This window comes from Homo sapiens, chromosome 2 (assembly GCF_000001405.40).
Source record: "Homo sapiens chromosome 2, GRCh38.p14 Primary Assembly".
NCBI lineage: Eukaryota > Metazoa > Chordata > Mammalia > Primates > Hominidae > Homo > Homo sapiens.
In genome coordinates this window covers 213,288,436-213,309,207 of record NC_000002.12, presented here as the reverse complement: position 1 = coordinate 213,309,207, position 20,772 = coordinate 213,288,436, and the positions used below count along the sequence as shown (strand labels likewise).

Here is a 20,772-nt window from a genome sequence, read left to right as displayed (position 1 = left end):
CTCATGGCCCTCAAAACCTAAAGTACAAGTTGAGCAATCCCTAATCCGAAAATCCAAAATCTGAAATGCTCCAATAGCCAAAAATTCTGAAGCACCAACATGATACCACAGGTAAAAAATTCCACATGCAAGTACTTAACACAAACTTTGTTTCATATACAAAATTATTTAAAATATTGTATAAAATTACCTTCAGGCTGTGTGTACAAGGTGTATATGGAACATAAATGAATTTCATGTTTATAACTGGGTCCCAGCCCCAAGAGATCTTAGTGTATATGTCAAACTAAATAATCCAAACCTATAGCTTTTGGAACTTTATATTTGTTAAGGCTTGAGAGGAACGGGACTATGTGGCCTGAGCCACATAGCATGAAGCTGCAACTTCTGCTTCTTCAATTATAGATTAAATGTCTTCATTACTGTCCTAAAAATGATTACAAAACACGGAATACCACCAGATATAAGACCACTTTAGAACACTGCCCTTCCTTGCAGAATGTCAAAGCAATCTTCCTTGGAATGTAGCAAGCTGTAATCAATCAAATCATTACAAACTATGTAATGACCTTGTATGGAAAATGTTGCAACCCTGTTAACTTCTGTTTCTGCCTATATAAGTGAAAACTTCCCCACTATGGAACACTCACTCATTCTTTTGGAGACTGTGTTTCCCAGGTGGCTATCCTCAAGCTTTGCACTTGAATAACACTAAATCATATTTTCAAAATATCATTATCATTGATATGTATTTGCAAATATTCCAACATCTGAAAAAAAATCCAAAATCTGAAATACTATGGTCCCAAGCATTTTGGATAAAAGATACTCAAACTGTATGTAGTATTCTGACAGAACATCTTAGCAGACCTAAAACTAGAAAAATGAAGACATTTCAGCAAGCAACAAATGAAATTAGTACAGCCATAAAAATTATTATATCATGTAAGTCAGTGTACAAAATAAATAAAATAATTGGTAGTTTTTTAAAAATACCAAGGAATAGGGAATACTAATTCTATTTTATGGAATGAAGTGTTGCTCAATAAAAATAAAATTAAAAAAATAAAACAATCATCGTCTCTTGAGTGCTGTCATTTTCTTCGCATTGGCAAGAAGTCTCTAATTTGTTTGCTGACTATTTGAATAAGCAGATCTATTCTCACCTACAGAAACTCAGCAGCAAATTTTCCTTTCGCCTTCTCTTTCCCAAGCTGTTAATGGTTATACAACAGGTTACACAGAATGCACAGAATGTTTACATGGAAATCCAATGAGGAAAGAGGATCTTTGCTGCCCCAAAAATTCTTTCCAAAAGTGCTATACAAAATTCGACAATCATTAAAAAGTCAGGAAACAACAGGTGCTGGAGAGGATGTGGAGAAATAGGAACACTTTTACACTGTTGGTGGGACTGTAAACTACTTCAACCATTGTGGAAGTCAGTGTGGCGATTCCTCAGGGATCTAGAACTAGAAATACCATTTGACCCAGCCATCCCATTACTGGGTATATACCAAAAGGACTATAAATCATGCTGCTATGTTTATTGCTGCATTATTCACAATAGCAAAGACTTGGAACCAACCCAAATGTCCAACAATGATAGACTGGATTAAGAAAATGTAGCACATATACACCATGGAATACTATGCAGCCATAAAAAATGATGAGTTCATGTCCTTTGTAGGGACATGGATGAAATTGGAAATCATCATTCTCAGTAAACTATCGCAAGAACAAAAAACCAAACACCGCATATTCTCACTCATAGGTGGGAACTGAACAATGAGAACACATGGACACAGGAAGGGGAACATCACACTCTGGGGACTGTTGTGGGGTGGGGGGAGGGGGGAGGGATAGCATTGGGAGATATACCTAATGCTAGATGACGAGTTAGTGGGTGCAGCACACCAGCATGGCACATGTATACATATGTAACTAACCTGCACATTGTGCACATGTACCCTAAAACTTAAAGTATAATAATAATAAAGTAAAAAAAATAAAAAAAAACAAAATTCAACACTGATGTTTATTACTGATAGCTGCTATGACATTCACAATAGTGGTGAGTTGAGGCAAATTTTGGGGCTACAGAAAAATCCTGACAAAGGGGTAGAGTGTAAAATTACTTTTGTAAAGTTCAAAAAGAATAATTTGGAAGGAGGCAGTTCAAGATGGCTGAATAGACACCTCTGATCATTAACCCTGCAGGAACACCAAACTGAAGAACTATTCACACAAAAAGGCAACTTCATAAGAACCAAAAATCAAGTGAGTAATCACAATACCAGGCTTTAACTTCATATTGCTGAAAGAGGCACTGAAGAAGGCAGAAAAGACAGTCTTGAGTTGCTGACACCACACCTCCCCCATCCCCTGGCAGTGGCCAAGTGGCATGGAGAGAAAATCTCTGTCCTGTGGGAGGGAGACTGTAGTAATTATGGAATTTTTTACATTCGAAAATAGTGCTGCATCATCATGGCAGAAAGCAACACCAGGCAGAACTCAGCCATCACCCAGAGGGAGCATTTCAACCAGCCCTAGCAAGAGGGGACTTGCCCATCCCAGCAGTCAGAACCTGAGTTCCAGAAAGCCTCACCACCACGGGCTAAAGGGTTCTGGGGTACTAAATAAACTTGAAAGGCAGTCTACACCACATGGACTGTAATTCTTTGGCAAGTTATGATGCTATGCTGGGCTCAGAGCCAGTGGACATTAGGAGCACATGACTTAGTGAGATACCAGCCAGGGCAGCCAAGTGAGTGCTTGTGCCACACCTCCCCTAACCCCGAGAGACTCCTTCCTTCCACTTGAGGAGAGAAGAGTAAAGAGGAAAGAAAAATAATGAACATCAGAGCAGAAATAAATGAAATTCAAATGAACAAAACAATACAATAGATCAATAAAACAAATGTTGGTTTTTTCAAAAGATAAACAAAATTGACAAAACATTAGCCAAAAAAAAATTTTTTTAAAGTAGACTCAAATAAATATAATCAAGAGGAAAAAGGGGACATCACAACCAATACCAAAGAAATTTTAAAGGATCATTGGAGGCTACAATGAGCAACTACGTGCCAGTAAATTGGAAAGCCTAGAAGAAATGGATAAATTCCTGGACACATACAACCTACCAAGATTGTAACATGAAGAAATCCAAAAGCCAAACAGACCAATAACAAGATTGATGCCATAATAAAAAGGCTCCCAGCAAAGGAAAGCTCTGGACACAATGGCTTCACTGCTGAATTGTATAAAACATTTTAAAAAGGAACTAATTCCAACCCTACTCAAACTTTTCTAAAAATCACAAGAAAAGGGAGTACTTCAAAACTCATTCTATGAGGCCAGTATTACCCTGATATCAAGGCCAGACAAAGACATGTTAAAAGGCCAATATTCCTGATGAACATAGATGCAAAATCCTCAACACCGTATTAGCCAATTTAATTCAACAACACATTAAAAAGGTCATCATCATGACCAAGTGGGATTCATCCTTGGAATGCAAGGATGGTTCAACTTATGCAAATCTATCAATGTGATACATCATAACAAAAGAATGAAGATCAAAAATCATATTATCCTTTCAATTCATGCTGAAAAAAGCATTTGATAAAATTCAACATCCCTTCATGATAGAAACCCTCAAAAAACATGGAGATAGAAGAAACATACCTCAACACAGTAAACGCCATATATGACAGACCCACAGGTAGTATCACACTGAATGGGGAAAACCTGAAAGCCTTTCCTCCAAGATCTGAAACATAACAAGGATGCCCATCGTCACCACTATTATTCAACATAGTACTGGAAGTCCTAGGTAGAGCAATCTGACAAGGGAAGGAAATAAAGGGCATCCAAATCAGAAAGGAAGAAGTCAAATTATCCTTGTTTGCAAATGCTATGATGTTATACTCGAAAAAAACCTATTCACCAAAAGGACTGATAAAGTCAGTAAAGCTGCAGAATATGAAATCAACATATCAAAATCAGTAGTATTTCTATATGCTGACAGTTAACAATCTGGTAAAGATATCAAGAAAGAAAACACATTTACAAATAGTTACAAATAATATACCTAGAAGTTAACTTAACCAATCAAGTGAGATCTCTCTACAATGAAAGCTATAAAATACTGATGAAAGAAATCGAAAAAGAAACAACAAAATGAAAAGATAGTCCATGTTCATGGATTAGAAGAATCAATACTGCCAAAATGTCAATACTATCCAAAGCAATTTACAAATTCAGTGGAATCCCCAACAAAATAAAATGCCAATGACATTCTTCATAGAAACAGAAAAAATAATCCTACAATTTATATGGAACCAAAAAAGTCCCACATTAGCCAAAGCTATCCTGAACAAGAAGGAAACTGCACGAATCACATTATGTGACATCAAATTATACTACAGAGCTATAGTAAACAAAACAGTATGGTACTAGTATAAAAACAGATACATAGACCAACAGAACAGAGCACACAGAAACACATCCATACGTCTACAGTGAACTCATTTTCGACAAAGGTATCAAGAACATACATTAGGGGAAAAGACAGTGTCTTCGATGAATGGTGATGGGAAAACTGGATATCCATATCCAGAAGAATCAAACTAGACCCCTATCCCTTGTCATACACAAAATCAAATCAAAATGGATTAAAGACTTAAATTTACACCCTCAAACCGTGGACCTTCTAAGAGAAAACTCCCAAAAGAAACTCTTCAGGACACTGGTCTGGGCAAAAATTTCTTGAGCAATACTTCACAAGCACAGGCATCCAAGACAAGTAATAGACAAATGGGATCACATCAGTTAAAAAGTTTTGCACAGCAAAGGAAACAATCAATAATGTGAAGGGACTACCCATAGAATGGGAGAAAATATATGCAAACTATCCATCTGAAAAGGGATTAATAATCAGAATATATAAGGAGCTCAAACAACTCTAAAGAAAAAAAGTAATTTTAAAATGGGCAAAAGATCAGAATAGACATTTCTCAAAAGAAGATATACAAATGGCAAACAGTTAAATAAAAAGGTGCTCAATATCATTGATCATCAGAAAAATGCCAATCAAAACTACAATGAGCTATCATCTCACCCCAGTTAAAATGGCTTTTATCTGAAAGATAGCCAATAATGAATGCTGGCAAGGATGTGGAGAAAAAGTAACCCTCGTACACCATTAGTGGAAATGTAAATTAGTACAACCACTATAAAGAACAGGTTAGATGTTCCCCAAAAAAACTAAAAGTAAGAGTTATTTAATATGATTCAGCAATCCTACTACCAGGAATATACTCAAAAGAAAGGAAATCAGTATATCGAAAATATATCTGCACTATTGTGTTTATCTCAGCACTATTCACAATAACTAAGATTTGGAGGCAACCTAAGTATCCATCAACAGGTGAGTGCAGAAAGGAAATGTGCTACATTTATGTAATAAAGTACTATTCAGCCATCAAAAAGAATGAGATCCTGTCATTTCCAACAACATGGATGGGCCTGGACATCATTATGTAAGTGGAATAAGTCAGGCACAGAAAGACAAACTTCACATGTTCTCACTTATTTGTGGGGGCTAGAAAGTAAAACAATTGAACTCACGAAGGCAGAGTCTAGAGCAATAATTACCAGAGGCTGGGGAGGGGAGAGGGGATGGTTAATGGGTACAAAAATATAGTCAGAATGAGTAAGATCTAGTATTTGATAGCACGAGAGTGACTACATTCAACAATAATTTATAGTAATTTTTAAATTAATGAGTATAATTGGATTGTTTGTAATATAAAGAAATATAAATGCTTGAGTTGATAGAACCCCATTTACCCTGTGATTATTGCACATTGTACACCTGTATCAAAATATCTTATGTACCCGATAAATATATGTACCTAGTATGTATCCTCAAAAATTAAAAATTAAAAAAAAAACTGGACTATTCTTCCAAAGATTATTAAAAAGACATTACATAAGAAGTACAGGATGCCAATTCAAATGTCATGGGAGATACCAAACTAGCAGAGTACAAGATGTCTGCCTTCAAGTCTTTGCAGTGTGCTGGTTACTAGCACAGGAAATTATATATAATTGTAAGGTCAGGGCAAAATATAGTTGGAAGTGAACATTCATTATACAACAATAAATGCTACCTCAGTTTTTTTGGTCAATAAATTTGAAAATGATATTTTAGGCTGATTGTTGGAAGGAACTTGGAAAACAGGAAAAGGAAGACAGACAGCAGGAGGGTGTATCTATTCTCATTTCTAAAGACACTTATGGGCAGGTTAAAGGATGTTTGTTGTATGTACGGTTGCAACACACCTGGCAGATTCCTGCCCTTTCAAATAAATGTTTGCATTCTGTGTCTTCCTGAATGTGCACCATGCACACACCTTGAAGCATTCCCACAGAAAAGAAATACGACCACCTTAAACTGTGTTGGTTCTTATTTATACTGTACAATAAAATGTATAAGCTTGTAAATATACCTCAATTTATAGTTCTTCTGCATTTATACACAACACACACACACACACACACACACACACACACACACACCCCTTCCAAGCTCTAATGTGATCATGAATATCTCTTTTACCTTTACGTAGGATATTTATTCAACATATAATTGGTGAACATCTCCCATGTACCAGGTACCATGAAAGGTGCTGGGAATTAAACATGAAGAAGACAGTTCTGTCTTGAGGAACTGAACGGTTCATTTAGCAAAAACAAAACATTATAATACAGAAGCTCTTTTGTTACAAATTTTGATTACAAAATCCTACTCAGGTATCCACAGATATCATACATGCAACCATTATGTATACTTAAGAAATTTAAGTTACACTTTTATCCCTATTATACATTATATACAACTCTCATTACGGCTTTTAACTAACTTAATTATGAGGTTAACAAAACACCACAGAATAAGCACAAAAAAGCAAGCAATCTACAAACTAGCGAAACATGGTCTCACTTTGCAGACTGCTGAATGATCAAAAATTACTCTAGCCACATGTGACCCAGAAATCTGTTGAGGACAAACAATGGTAGCTCTAGCACATAGCTTCATTTTGTCTATGAACATTCTAAAGTTGACATTTTCTAAGTAGACAGGATTCTATATTGTGTTATGATTGCAACAATAGAAATCTGCTAGGTGAAGTGATACACAATGGAGAAGAATATTTCCCTTGCCTTAGATATGTGAATGAAGGCTATGTTAAGGAGACTATTAGGTTGAACGTTACAGACGATGAGGAAATACAACAGATAAAGAAAGATAAACCAATATTCAAGGCAAGAAAACATCTGAGGCAAAAACAAGGAGTGACAATTCAATCCATTAAGGCTCAGGGTCTTACGGAGAAAGGGCCAAAGATAAAGTGGAAAAACTAAACAGGAAGCATATCAAGAAGGCAAAGGCAGGTGGAAGGGTAGACACATTGGGAATTTACGTAGAGGGGAGATAAACTGAAATTTGCATTAGACACATCTTTTAGGTGGGAATAGAAGGAAGCATAGTACCAGCAGCATGCTGTAGCTCAGATGAGAAAAGAAAGAGGGTAGCTTTAAGGTAGACTAAGTGAGGATGAAGGTAAAGAGAAGGATATGAAAGATGTTGAGGACATAAAACTTTCCAGACTTAAGAACTAATTAAATGTTGAATTGCAAAGAAGTGCTAAACCACATATTAAAATTAAGTATCTTGACAAATTTTGAACTGTTTTAATGTGAGTTCCTTTGACAACTTTAGTTGACCAGTGAGAAACAAAAAAATAAACAATGAAATCCAAGTGGTCTTAAAACTTAAATGTTACTTTATTTGGGGCTTCATTTCATCAACTCCTTAATTCACATTAAGTCAAATATATTGGCTTGGATAATCTGTAGACATGGCTTTGAGTACAAGGAGCCTGGGTCTCTAACTAAAATTAAGTGTGTACATGGAGAGAATGGGAATTCAATAATGACAAACAGCTCTTTTTCTTGAGACTAGTAATTGAGTCTAAAAGTAATGAAAATTGTTTAAGAATTTAATCCATTAGCATTATGATGTGAGAGTTAACATAATGGTATAGGTTGATGCAAAAGTAATTGCGTTTTTTTCCGTTAAAAGTAATGGTATAGCCACAATTACTTTTGCACCAACCTAATATTAATCCCTCGTGAGATTAAGATCTAAATAAAAGGAATACATATTTATTAATCCTAGACTATATTTTGGTATATTAACATAATAGCAAGAGAACTTTTTTATATTAATTCTTAACATATTTGAAAATTTCTGAGAATAGAATTCTATAAAATGTCTCAAACTTTATGTTCTCGCAACACTTTATACTATTAAAAATTATTGAGTACTCCAGACAGCACTTATTTATCTGAGTTATACCTATCAAGAATTATATATTGGATATTAAATTTTAAAATATTCATTTATTTACTTTAAAATAACTATAGCAAAACTTCTACACAGATAACATAGACAGAATTTTTTTAATAAAAACTAACTACATTTTCCAAAACAGAAAAAGAACTAATGAGAAGAGTGACACTGTTACAAATTTTTACAAATCTTTTTAGTATTTAGAGGAACAGCTAGATCCCCATATTTTTTTCTGCATTTGACCTGTTGTGATATGTTGTCTCAGTTGAGCTACATGAGGAGAATCCTCCAGCAGGTGTGTAGTTGGAAAATGAAAGACAACATAAATTCCCTAAAAGGGGTCTTGGGGACCCCAAAAGATCTCCCACAATACTTTGAGAACTATTGATACATATGGTAAAGAACATTCTCGCTTGGGTCAGTCATCAATTAGTCTTCTCCAAAAATAGTTAATTATTCCAAAGAAATTCCATAAATTCTACTTAAATTCTCAGGAGGAAGAGGAAGAAAAGGAGGAGGAGGGAAGGGAGAAGAAAGAGGAGGAAAAGGGGTAGCAGGAGGAGGAAAAGCATCAGGGAATTGAACAATTATATGACTTGGGTGTCTTGCTACTGTCATATTTAAAGATCAAAATTCTACATTTATAAAAATTAGAAGTCATTACGTAATTACAGCAGTATAAAAGACCTCTGAGATTGTACCTTGAAAATTAACAGAATAAACTATCAATAACCAAAGAGGCTGAAGAATTATCCAAAAAAATGGCAAAAATACACTTATAAAAAGGCTCAGAATTTAGAAGGGGAGACCCAGCTTCAATGTAAGTAGACCTTTCTTTTCATATATTTACATACAAATATCCCTAAGTAATACATACAGACACACAGACACAATCTAACGAACATATATATAATCCTACCTTTACTTGTATTCATACCTGTAAAATACTTAAATTTCAAGAAACTACTGATAGTATAATCAAACTACATAACTGTTATAGATTAATAACATTTCCTATCTTCTCAATATTTTTCAAGAATAACTTTAAATATAATGAAAATTATTTAATTCAGAATTCAGATCATTGAACCCACTAAGAAAACGGATAGTATCAAATACACAATTTAAAATTTATAAAGCAAACCATGCAATCAATTCTCAAATATTTAATCTATACTACCCACATTTAAAGGAAATCATAAGAACTTGGCCCAGTGTGGTGGCTCACACCTGTAATCCCAGCACTTTGGGAGGCTGAGGCAGGTGGATCACGAGGTCAGGAGATCGAGACCAACCTGGCTAACATGGTGAAACCCCGTCTCTACTAAAAATACAAAAAAAAAAAAAATTAGCTCGGTGTGGTGGCAGGTGCCTGTAGTCCCAGCTACTTGGGAAGCAGAGCTTGCAGTGAGCCAAGATTGCGCCACTGGACTCCAGCCTGGGCGACAGAGTGAGACTCCGTCTCAAAAAAAAAAAAAAGGAAATCATAAGAACAAGAATGTATTTAAATGTCAACTATTCAATAAGTCGCAATAAGTCATTTTTTGTTAATATTTTAACAAATAAGATAATTTACATTATTTCAACTTAACTTTCCTAATAGTATCATAACCATTTACTTGCAATCTTCAATGAAAATTTTAAGAGTTCTGTGCATAGAGATTACTGTATCCTTTAACAGAGAAGAAAATATATCTTGTTTATGAATATATATAAGATCAGAACAAAAAATGGATTTAACAAGCAATAAGTATTCTTTAAAAGAGAAAGCCCATAGCACAATTCAAATTACTGAAGATTAACATACTTTAGAAATAAAAAGCAAATTAAAAAATATAACTAATATGCTTATGATAAAATGAATCCATATTTAACAGCTTAAGGACAACTTCTGTGAATTTTCAGCATAATACTGTTCCTCCAAAGAATTTTTTAAAATGAGGTAAAAAGAAGCTAAATGAGAGTCAATCAGCTACAGACATGCCAGAAATCAAGAATGTTAACTCATGTAAGGTTATGATAAAGAAAAGCTTCCAATAAATTGATAAAAGAAGAATTACTGATATTTGGCTCAGTAGATACAACAGCTACTACAATGTATTTCTTCCTCAACTTTCCTCTGATTTATCTTTGCATTACAAACACTTTCGACCATGATAGCAGAAGGAAGCAATTACAGTTTTGTTCAGTTTTTTCATTCAATGATCCACTTATCCATTCTCTTATTTAACTGCTATTTATTTAGTGCCAACTATGTGCCAAGCACTGTATTAGCCACATGTACTTTACCAAATACCGATACAAATGAGTGGTACATAAAGAATTTGTCAAAATCCTTAGTGATGTAAAGCAAGAGGATGATGATAAATGAATAAACATATCAGTTGCATGTCACTGAAAATGCTATTCATACATTTTAAAACTATTCCTACAAATTATTGCTTTGAGATATCCAACAGACTAAGTCTATGGAATAGATTTCACTTTGTGTCTACCAAGAAGAAGCTATGTCCATGGGATTCATTAGAGAATGTCATTTACTATGAGCTGCAGCCCTCCATTTACAACAGAATGCAATTAATTCTGGCCTGAAAAAATCTTCCTCTAGAGCTTTTATTCCAATTTTGAGTGGACAGACATTTTGAAAAGGAGTTATTGGACTTCTACATTGAAGAAGTCTACAGAATATGGAAAGAATGATATGGTATAATATGCAGTAAAGTCTCACATACAATTCCACACTGAGGAAGGCAAATCTGCAACCAAAAAGGAGTTTCACAAATTCCTTCACATTTCTCTGTAGTAAAGGGGTTAAACACTGAAAGAAAGCATGCTTCTTAATGTTGGTACAAAATAAAACATTTTTAAAAATATTTTTGCCATCATATTAAATGGTTCACAATTTTAATGAGTTTTCAATTTTAGAGGAATGCCATCAGTTTTATGCACTTTTAGTTCATTGTATTATAATCAAAAAACATCCCCCACCACATTCCTTAACATAATTAGTTCATAAGCCTCACAAGAAAGCCATATTAAGCATTCCCTGTAAGATTAATACTTTCATGTAAAAAAACACAAAATGTTTACAAAACAGACTGTAGAACTTGTATATGACACTAAATTCTAAACATAAATGTTGAAAATTATTGGTTTATCCTCCAGTGAGATTAATCAGAGTTCAGAGAGAAGGTGTCACTTGATACAAAGTCATGCAAGAGTGACCATGATGTGGAGAATGGCAATCCAAAAAAGAGTAAATATGACTGCTTACCTTAAAGTGAAGGCTTGATCACAAATAAACAGAGATGAAAATGATATAACAGATGACTGAGCTACACTAGTATTTACATTTAAAAGACTTTCCAAACTTCATATAAAAAGCACTACCACTAAACTATAGACTACACTAGTGTTCAAATTCTCACCAAAATTTCAGTATCTGTAGCCTGTTCTTGGGCCATCTGAATTGCTTTTGCCAGATCTTCTTCACCTTCTGGGATGCTAAAATTGTCATCTGGTATCTAGATCACAGAGAAAGAGAAGGATAGGAAGAGTGAGCAGAAATATAAAATACTTTATTTCACTTCAGAAATAATTTTGCTTCACAAATCAAAGGATCAAAGAAATACTTTATGTAAAATACCATGTCATTCTGAAGATCCATGAAAAATGAATAACTGCTTTCTTCTGACTTCCTTGTAAATGTCAATAAACGTCACTTCTAATAAATTCAGGATTAGTTTGTGGGCAACTGCTTTTATCTATAATAGAAAATGTAATCTAACAATTCTGCTGAAAAAATAATAAGGCTATCTAAATATCACCATTCTTGCCCCATCTCAAGTGCTTTCCACCATCACTTTTTCAGAACTACTAGCAACTGAAAATCTCTCGTTTATTAAAAAATAAAACTCACTGAGCATTAAAATCTTGAAAGGACGTGATGGATTGCAATTATGATTAATGACAGTTAAGACTTAACACACGCTTCTTATGTACTGATCACTGGTTTAGGCCTTTTACATTTATTAACTCATTCAGGAACTTCATGTGGTACACATAATCTCCATTTTACCAGTAATAAAAAGCCTGTCTCCAATTTTCATCCTGTCTCTTGCTCACCCAGGCTCGCCAGGCTTATTTCCACACAGTTTCATTCACAGCCTCTGTCATCTACCAGTGATTTTATCCTCCAAGTGTCCGAAGTAATGATAGGTCTCGGGAACAATGAATTAAAGGAAAGCTTTGAGATAGGAACCACATTAGATAGAAATACTGTTAAGCTGGAAGGATGCATAAGGCCTCCGCTTCAACTGAGCAGTGGGAATCTAGGAATCCTTGACAAGAGCAGACTGGATGACAGGAAGGAAGTGCCTCCTGAACAGAGATAACAGTTTATGGTAGGAATCTACAAGGCAGGTAATAAGGAGCTGAACCTGAAGGACGATTAACAGGAAAATCAAAAGAATCAGATGTATTTTCCAATTTAAATGTTTAAACAGAATTTTCACATCTCATTCTTAATCAGCTGATACTAGCTAAATTCAGTTGAAAAACTGGTATCTCTTAAGAAAAAAGAATGGTTCTTACATGTTTCAGAAAATAAAATGAGCATTTCATGAGAATGACTGCAATAAATTTACAGAATAAACACCTAAAATTAACATGTTACCTCTTCATATTCATAGTCATCTTCAGATGCTTCAGTTATGGTGACCTCTGAATATCTTGTCAAGTTTTAATCTCAAAAAATATAGAATAAAATTATTGCACAAAAATTGATTTGACCTTCAAATATAGTATTGGATTCAACTATCTCACCAGGAAGTTGGTAAATATATATAATTTAATCTTTAAAAAATTTGTCTTCCCCATATAGCCTATAAATCTAGATATTTAAAAATAAAATACTTCATTATTTTTCACAACTCAAATCCATGAAAACCTACATTGCTATCTGTCTTTTGACTGTTTACTATCTATCTAATGATTTCAAACTTGATTCTATGAAGGCTTGTGAAAATATACATAATATCATAAGGTAGCGTGAATTAGAAACAGGTAAGAAAAAACAGTAACTTTTTCAAATTCATCTTAAACCACAATGAATTTTCCAGAGCTCCTGAGTTAACTATTCACAGTACATGAATAAAATGTGACTTTATTTGGTTTAAAGTATTGTGAATGAACAAAACAAATGCACGCCAATATTTAAGAAAAAAACACATATCAATGCTTTTATCAGTAAAATTTAAATTTTACTTTTCCATGTATCTCCATTTTTAAATTATCTTTATAGGAAAGATAACTTAATTTTTAAGTGAATATAAAGTATATAGCAATCATAATTCAAAATTTCATAAATACTGAAGAAATTAAATATCAATGGAAATGATTCTAACATAAAATAATTCTAAGAGAACTGCTTTAAGACTTTCAAAAACTATAAGTTACTCTAATTACATATGAAAACTTCAAGACAATATTTTATGTTAAATCACAGCACACACCAGCAATGCTTGTTGTTGTTGTTGTTATTATTGTTAGGTTTACATTTTTTTCGATTACACTGACTCGGTTATGCCAAGTTTAAAATGTGTGAATTAAACACTTTAATGCATGGTAATGGTTATGAAAATCAAAGATAAGATTAGCCTAGTTTTCATTTTGCTGCTGATTATAAAATGTCTCTGGCATTGTTTACCAAGCATTAGCTGAAAGGGTATATAACAACTTCTGTTGCTTATAACAAGAACAGATAACACTTACACAGTATTTAATAGGAGACAGGAACTGTTCTAAGTGTTTTCCATGTATTAACTAATTTCATCCTCATCCTGCCTATGAGGCTGGAACTATAACTCTATTTTACAAATCAAGAATCAGAGGCATAAGGTTCCACAGCTAGGACCTAAAAGAGCCCAGATGTTTAGGTTTCACCATATTATATTGCCTCTCCATGTTCTGTGTGGGTTTTCTGTGCTACATAAATACATAAAGTGTTTGCCAATTATTTTCCACAGAGATCTAAACCTATAAATTTATTACTGCTACTAAGCTCCATCACAAGTAATCATCCTGTATGTCTTATCCCTATCCCTTGCAGGGACACTTAAGCCCCATTCCATTATGACCAATCCTCAGATACCAGGTATCTGTCAAAAGGTCAGTATTTTATTGTAAAACATGAATAAGTGCCTCTCCTAATAACATAGTGAAAAGTAATTAGGCTCAAAAATAGCTAGTTAAATGATTAAACAAAAAAATAGTTGCATACTTGCAGTCTATTCCATAACCTTAATTCATCCATATTAAATACTACAAGGAGTAAAATACCTCCTTTATTAATTATCTATTACTGTAGAACAGATTCTAATAGTATTTGCCTCACTCTCTAATTCCTTGCCATCAGCCTCTTTAAAGATCATAAGGCTTCTACTAGCAATCTGTTCGAGGTATTTTATCTTTCACTAACAAAGTATTTCCAACATCTCCCTAATCCCCAGTTTCAAAGCTACTCTGTTACTTCTTATTTAACACCCTACTCCAGATACTGAACCTGAAGGTCATGCTAAGTGAAATGTTAGATACAGAAAGACAAATACTGCATAGTCTCACTTATATGTGGAATCTAAAAAAAATTCCAACTCTACAGAAACAGACATTAGAAGGGGAGTTACCAATGAATAGAGGGTAGGGAAAATGGGGGGATGTTCATCAACGTTGCACAAACATTCAGTTATAAGATGAAGAATTTATGGAGACCTAATGTATAGCACAGTAACTATGGCTAATAATAATGGAGTGTCACTTGAAATTTGTAAAGAGAGTAGATCTTAAATATTCTCACCACAAGTAATATAAAAGTGAAAAGGTAACTATATGAGGTAAATAGGTTAATTAGCTTGGGTGTGGTAATCATTTCACAATGTATATGTAAATCAAAATATGTTGTACACCTAGAATATATGTAATGTTGTCAATTACAACTCAATAACGCTGAAAAAGGAACAATAAGCATTTATTATATTGTAGTTTCTCTGGGTCAAGGGCTCAGTAGTGGTTTATCTGGTAGAATCTGACTTGGGGGTCTCTCATGTCATAGTCAAAATAACAGGAGAATTAGAGTCATCTGAAGGCTGAGATGAGGCAACAGGATCCATTTCCATGGCAGCTCACTGACAATGTACTAGTTTCCCAGAAGACCTCAGTTCTTCCCCATGTGGGTCTCTCCACAGGCTGCTTGAGCATCCTCAAGATATGGTGGGCTAACTACCCCCAGAATAAGCAGTCCAAGAAAACAATGTGGATGCCACAATAGCTTTTCTAACCAAACATCAGAAGTCACACATCATTTCTTCAATATCCCACTGGTTACATGGGTCACGTCTACTCAGTGTGTGAGGATTACACAAGAGCATGAATATTAGGAGGTGGGGCTCACTGGATGCGTATTAGTTCATTCTCATGCTGCTATGAAGAAATACCCAAGACTGGGTAATTTATAAGGAAAAGAGGTTTAATTGACTCATAGTTCTGCATGGCTGAGGATACCTCAGGAAACTTACAATCATGGCGGAAGGCACTTCTTCACAGGGCACCATGAAAGAGAGAATGGGTGCAAGCAGTGGAAATGCCAGACACTTACAAAACCATGAGATCTTGCGATACTCACTCATTATCACAAGAGCAGCATGGGGGAAACTGGCCCTATGATCCAATTACCTCTACAAGGTCCTGCCCTTGACACATACGGATTATTACAATTCAAGGTGAGATTAGGGTGGGGACACAGAGCCAAACCATATCAGGGTGTCATTTTATTTTAGAGACTGGCTTCCTTCCATACTATAAGAATGTTAAGAGTCAATATATGTAAAGCATTTAGATTAGTGCCTGGCTTATAGTAAATGATATACAAGTGTTTGTTGTCATTTCTTTTCTCACTCTGGAAAGAGATGAGTATCTATGGAAAAAAAAATCTTTTAAATTTCTCATGCCTCTGTTCCCCCATATGTTAAAATGAATAAATAAAAGACATTTTAAATTTCCCTCCAGTTATAGATTTATATCTTTCTGATAGTTTTGTTTTTTTTTGTTTTTTTTGTTTTTTTTTTTTGAGACGGAGTCTCGCTCTGTCGCCCAGGCTGGAGTGCAGTGGCGGGATCTCGGCTCACTGCAAGCTCCGCCTCCCGGGTTCACGCCATTCTCCTGCCTCAGCCTCCCAAGTAGCTGGGACTACAGGCGCCCGCCACTACGCCCGGCTAATTTTTTGTATTTTTAGTAGAGACGGGGTTTCACCGTTTTAGCCGGGATGGTCTCGATCTCCTGACCTCATGATCCGCCCGCCTCGGCCTCCCAAAGTGCTGGGATTACAGGCGTGAGCCACCGCACCCGGCCTCTGATAGTTTTATATAATGAGATAAAATTTCCGAAGGTTCAGCTAGAGGAAGTCAGCCTCTTTTCTATGAAAAAGCATGACCCCTTCTGAGAGACAGCTCCTAGAAAGTAATTTTGTAAGCGGTCATTTGTATGTCTCCAGAAAAGCAATGCCATCCTTCACCATGTTCACATCATAATAATTTCAAAAAGAAGTAAATACTCTAAAAGCTTCTGGATAGACTTTAAAGTTGTAAATAAGCCAACCGCTGATAAGATTATATGAGGAAGATGTCACATGGCAATATAGAGTAGAAAAAAAGTGATTTGTCCTCGAAGCATAGAAAATATCAATCAACACTTACATACTCCTACCCAGCAAATATTCTAGACAATGGCTTTTTATCACCTAAATGTATTACTTTCCCACAATCAAAAAAGATTAAGAGAGTACATAACTACCATTTTATAAAGCTTAAAAGTATTTTCACATGGACCAAAACTATATTTATTCTCACACAACCCAGTGAGGTCAAACAGCACAGATATACCCATCTCTAAATTAAAAATGAAGAAACTGAATCAGAGATTAAAAGATTTGCCCAAGATCACACAGCTGTGAATGACAAAGATAAATTCCTGAGATACAAATGCCATAAATTTGCTGCTACATAGTACTGTTTCTACAGTGACACAATAGGAATACACAACTTTTTTACCAATATCCTAGGTAATGAACTCACCTATTTTTTTCCAAAAACTTTCAAGTGTTATATTAATAACAGGTAAATCAAATCACATAAATAGCTCAATTTGAAGACCCCCAGAGGAAAGAGAAGTAGAAAAGAGCTACAGGCTACAGACTCAAAACGAAATCTAACCAAGGGCAAGAGACTGATGGGACAATACGTCAGGTAGTGGACAAAACAATCAAACTAGGAAGATACATACTTTGATTGATTTTTATGTATCCACAATATAATTTATATTTAAAATTTCCCAAAGGCAACTCAGTTTAAATGTCACAATGTTATTAAAGACATAAATGTACTTTGACACTTATGTTTGTACGCATCTGTTTACCTGGCTAGCTAGCTGGCAGTAGGGACAGGTGCACAAACTGATCCTAAAGTGATTCTGCTACAGTTTGCAAATACACACACTATACAAAATGTAACAATTAATGAATGTGGAAATTGGAGGAGAAAAGGAAATAGCATTATAGAAATATGATTAAGATGCAGCAGATACCATAGGTCTCATAAGATTGGTCAAAAATAACCCCCAGATTTGACTCTAAGCTTCCCAGTAACCAGGGTAAAAAGGGACATGGAATCAGATACCATCTCTGTATCGACCCAATGAAAACAGATGAGTTTCTCAACAGATATCCAGGAATATCTGGTTCCAAAGCCTGAGAGAAATGACATTCTTGGGTTCTCATAAAAAGAATAGTGCAGTGTAGAGATATCAATCCCCTTGGCCCTTGGGACGGTAAAAAAGGCAGAGTGAAGTAGGATGTGATGGAGTACTGTATGTGAAAAACTTTGGAAAGCATTGTTTTGGATAACAATCTTGCCAGAGTAGAAAAGGTTAATTCGTCAAGAATGATAAAACTCTGTACACTCTGGTTCTACTTTCACGGAGCAACTTTCTCATCTGTAATTTAATCTCTTAGGTGATCCTACTCTCCAGGAAACATCCATACAATTAAGCTAATCACAGTTCTCATGCAAAGTTATTCTTTCACTGAAATAATAAGCTAGCATTCTGGCCTAAATCCAGTTTCTTAATGTCAAGCTGCCTTTGAGCCCTCACAAAACTCCCTTCCCTCTAACTGCCTAGTATTCCTTCGAAGAACACTGGTGAATTTCAGTTCCAAAATTTTTTTCTGCCCTGTCTGTTCCCCTCATATCTGGTTCTTACCTATCTGCACACTTGGCCTTGACTTGACACTTAATACTGTGCCTTGTTTTCTAGATTGTTCTTGCCTGGGGTAGTGTCCATGGCTCCCCTTTTCTCCCTGCCCTGAAGCCACAGCCCACAGTACCATCCAAGTCCAGGCCAGGTTCTGTATTTCTAGTCATAACCTAGACACAGACTGAGGCTCCCATTCCTCCCAAATCTGCATTTGCTCTGGAAGGAATTTAGTAGCACTCGTGAGTTTCATAGCATGAATTAGTTTCCTGGTATTTAGTCACCATGGGTGAACTATCTCATAGTTTCTGCACTAGCAGAGCCTGCACCAGATCCTGATATTCTCGATCTTTTCAGAAAATGGGAAAATGTAACACCCACACTGAAACTGCCAGGGAGCCCTAAGCCCATCACAGTACTACAGAGAACACAACTGCCAGAAACCTCGGTGAGACATTTTGGTTGGCCTAATGGCGCAGAGCTTGAGGTGCCAATTGGTATGAGGGGGAGACAAATAACATTCTGCAAATGGACCAGAGCCAGAAACCAATGAATAATTTTCAGATGTGAGCAGCAAAGTACCTTACACACTGGTCTCTTCCACTGCTGCATTTGTAGGTAGTGTTTACTGCCAGCAGTAGCAGCATCTTTATGAAGAACTGGAGTGAAACATATAGCTAATTATATTTTACATGATTTCCCAAAGCTACTATAGACAGAAATCATTTTGTAATCCTTGCCATCACTGCAGAGCCAACGTACACAGACTCAATCTAAAATCTAGCCTGGATCTTCCATGATCAACATTTTACTTATTAAGTTGAAATAAAAATACTGTAAATAGCAAATATCATAGTCTTGGTCCCTTTCTTAGGAAGGCCAGTTTAAATAAGTTAACTGAATAATACAGACAAAAATGGAAGGTAGCTGGCATGCTTGTGGTCACATTCCCTTTTGCCAATTGCTCCCTGCAGTTTTTACCACACAGTCTTCATGAGGACTCAGAATTCTTATTAATATCCTATACCAGGGAGCCACTACCAATTCAACAGAATTGGCAAGAGTGGAAATGTACTGGCCACCCCTGTCCTACATAGCTGTTGCATATCTTCTACCTTCATAACTGGAAAATAACTTTTGTTCAGCATGTAAGACTCAGTGCTCATGGCAGCTGGTGGTATAAGTCTTTCCAACTTCTAAGCCAGGAGATCCAAAGATATGGACTCCACATGTGATATTTCTATCTGAAAATATAAAGGCTAGAGATTAAGATATTTATCTACAGCCTTGCTACTTCAATTACAGTCCTTAGACCAGCAGCAACCGCAGCACCAGGAAGCTTCTTAGCAATGCAGAATCTCAGCCCCCTTGCCAGACTTATTGAATTAGAATATTTATTTAAAGCTCCCCAGGTGAGTCATATGCACATTAACGCCTGACTAAAGGACACAGAGCAAAACACATTTTTTTTCTCTCCAAATAGCCTATGACTTTTACACAAGTAAATATCAACACTCTGGATTTAGTAACATAGTTCTTAGTCTGTCTATATGCAGGTTGTGTATCCTTTTCATTTGAATATACACGGGGTATGTATGTTCTAATATCTAAGAACCCATGCACAAATTAAGTTCCAGTGATAAGAAATACACTTTAGGGTTCAGAACAATTATAATACTACAAACATTTCAGAGAAGTACCATTTTATAACAGAAGAAAAAGTGGTTAACACATGTATCTAAGAGAATGTTAGTTTTAAAAAAGAAAAAGAAATCTATGCATCCACCTTTCTAAATGTTTTACTTACTCAACTACAATGTTTAGCTTTAAAAAAAAAAAAAGTTAAAAACCATACAGTAAATTTAAAAAAAGGAAAGGACAGGTGCGGTGGCTCACACCTGTAATCCCAGCACTTTGGGAGGCTGAGGCGGATGGATCACGAAGTCAGGAGATCGAGACCATCCTGGCTAACACAGTGAAACCCCGTCTCTACTGAAAATACAAAAAAAAAAAAATTAGCCAGGTGTGGTGGCAGATGCCTGTAGTCCCAG

The 20,772-nt window shown here is 35.4% G+C and overlaps 1 protein-coding gene across 23 annotated transcripts in view; it reads right to left on the bottom strand.

Moving 5' to 3' along the window:
• SPAG16 (sperm associated antigen 16) overlaps positions 1-20,772 on the bottom strand; it is a 1,126,038-nt gene that overhangs the window by 1,101,294 nt on the left and 3,972 nt on the right. For 17 of the 23 annotated variants that reach the window (NR_047660.2, NM_024532.5, XM_011511820.3 and 14 more), the window contains exons 2-3: positions 13,098-13,144; positions 11,851-11,946 (exon numbers count right to left, since the gene is read on the bottom strand). Coding sequence is in view for 19 of the 23 variants with exons in the window: in NM_024532.5 (NP_078808.3) it covers positions 11,851-11,946; positions 13,098-13,144 (143 nt within the window). In the remaining 4 variants the exon portion in view is untranslated. The other 6 variants (NR_047659.2, XM_011511823.4, XM_011511819.3 and 3 more) reach the window with 6 other exon arrangements.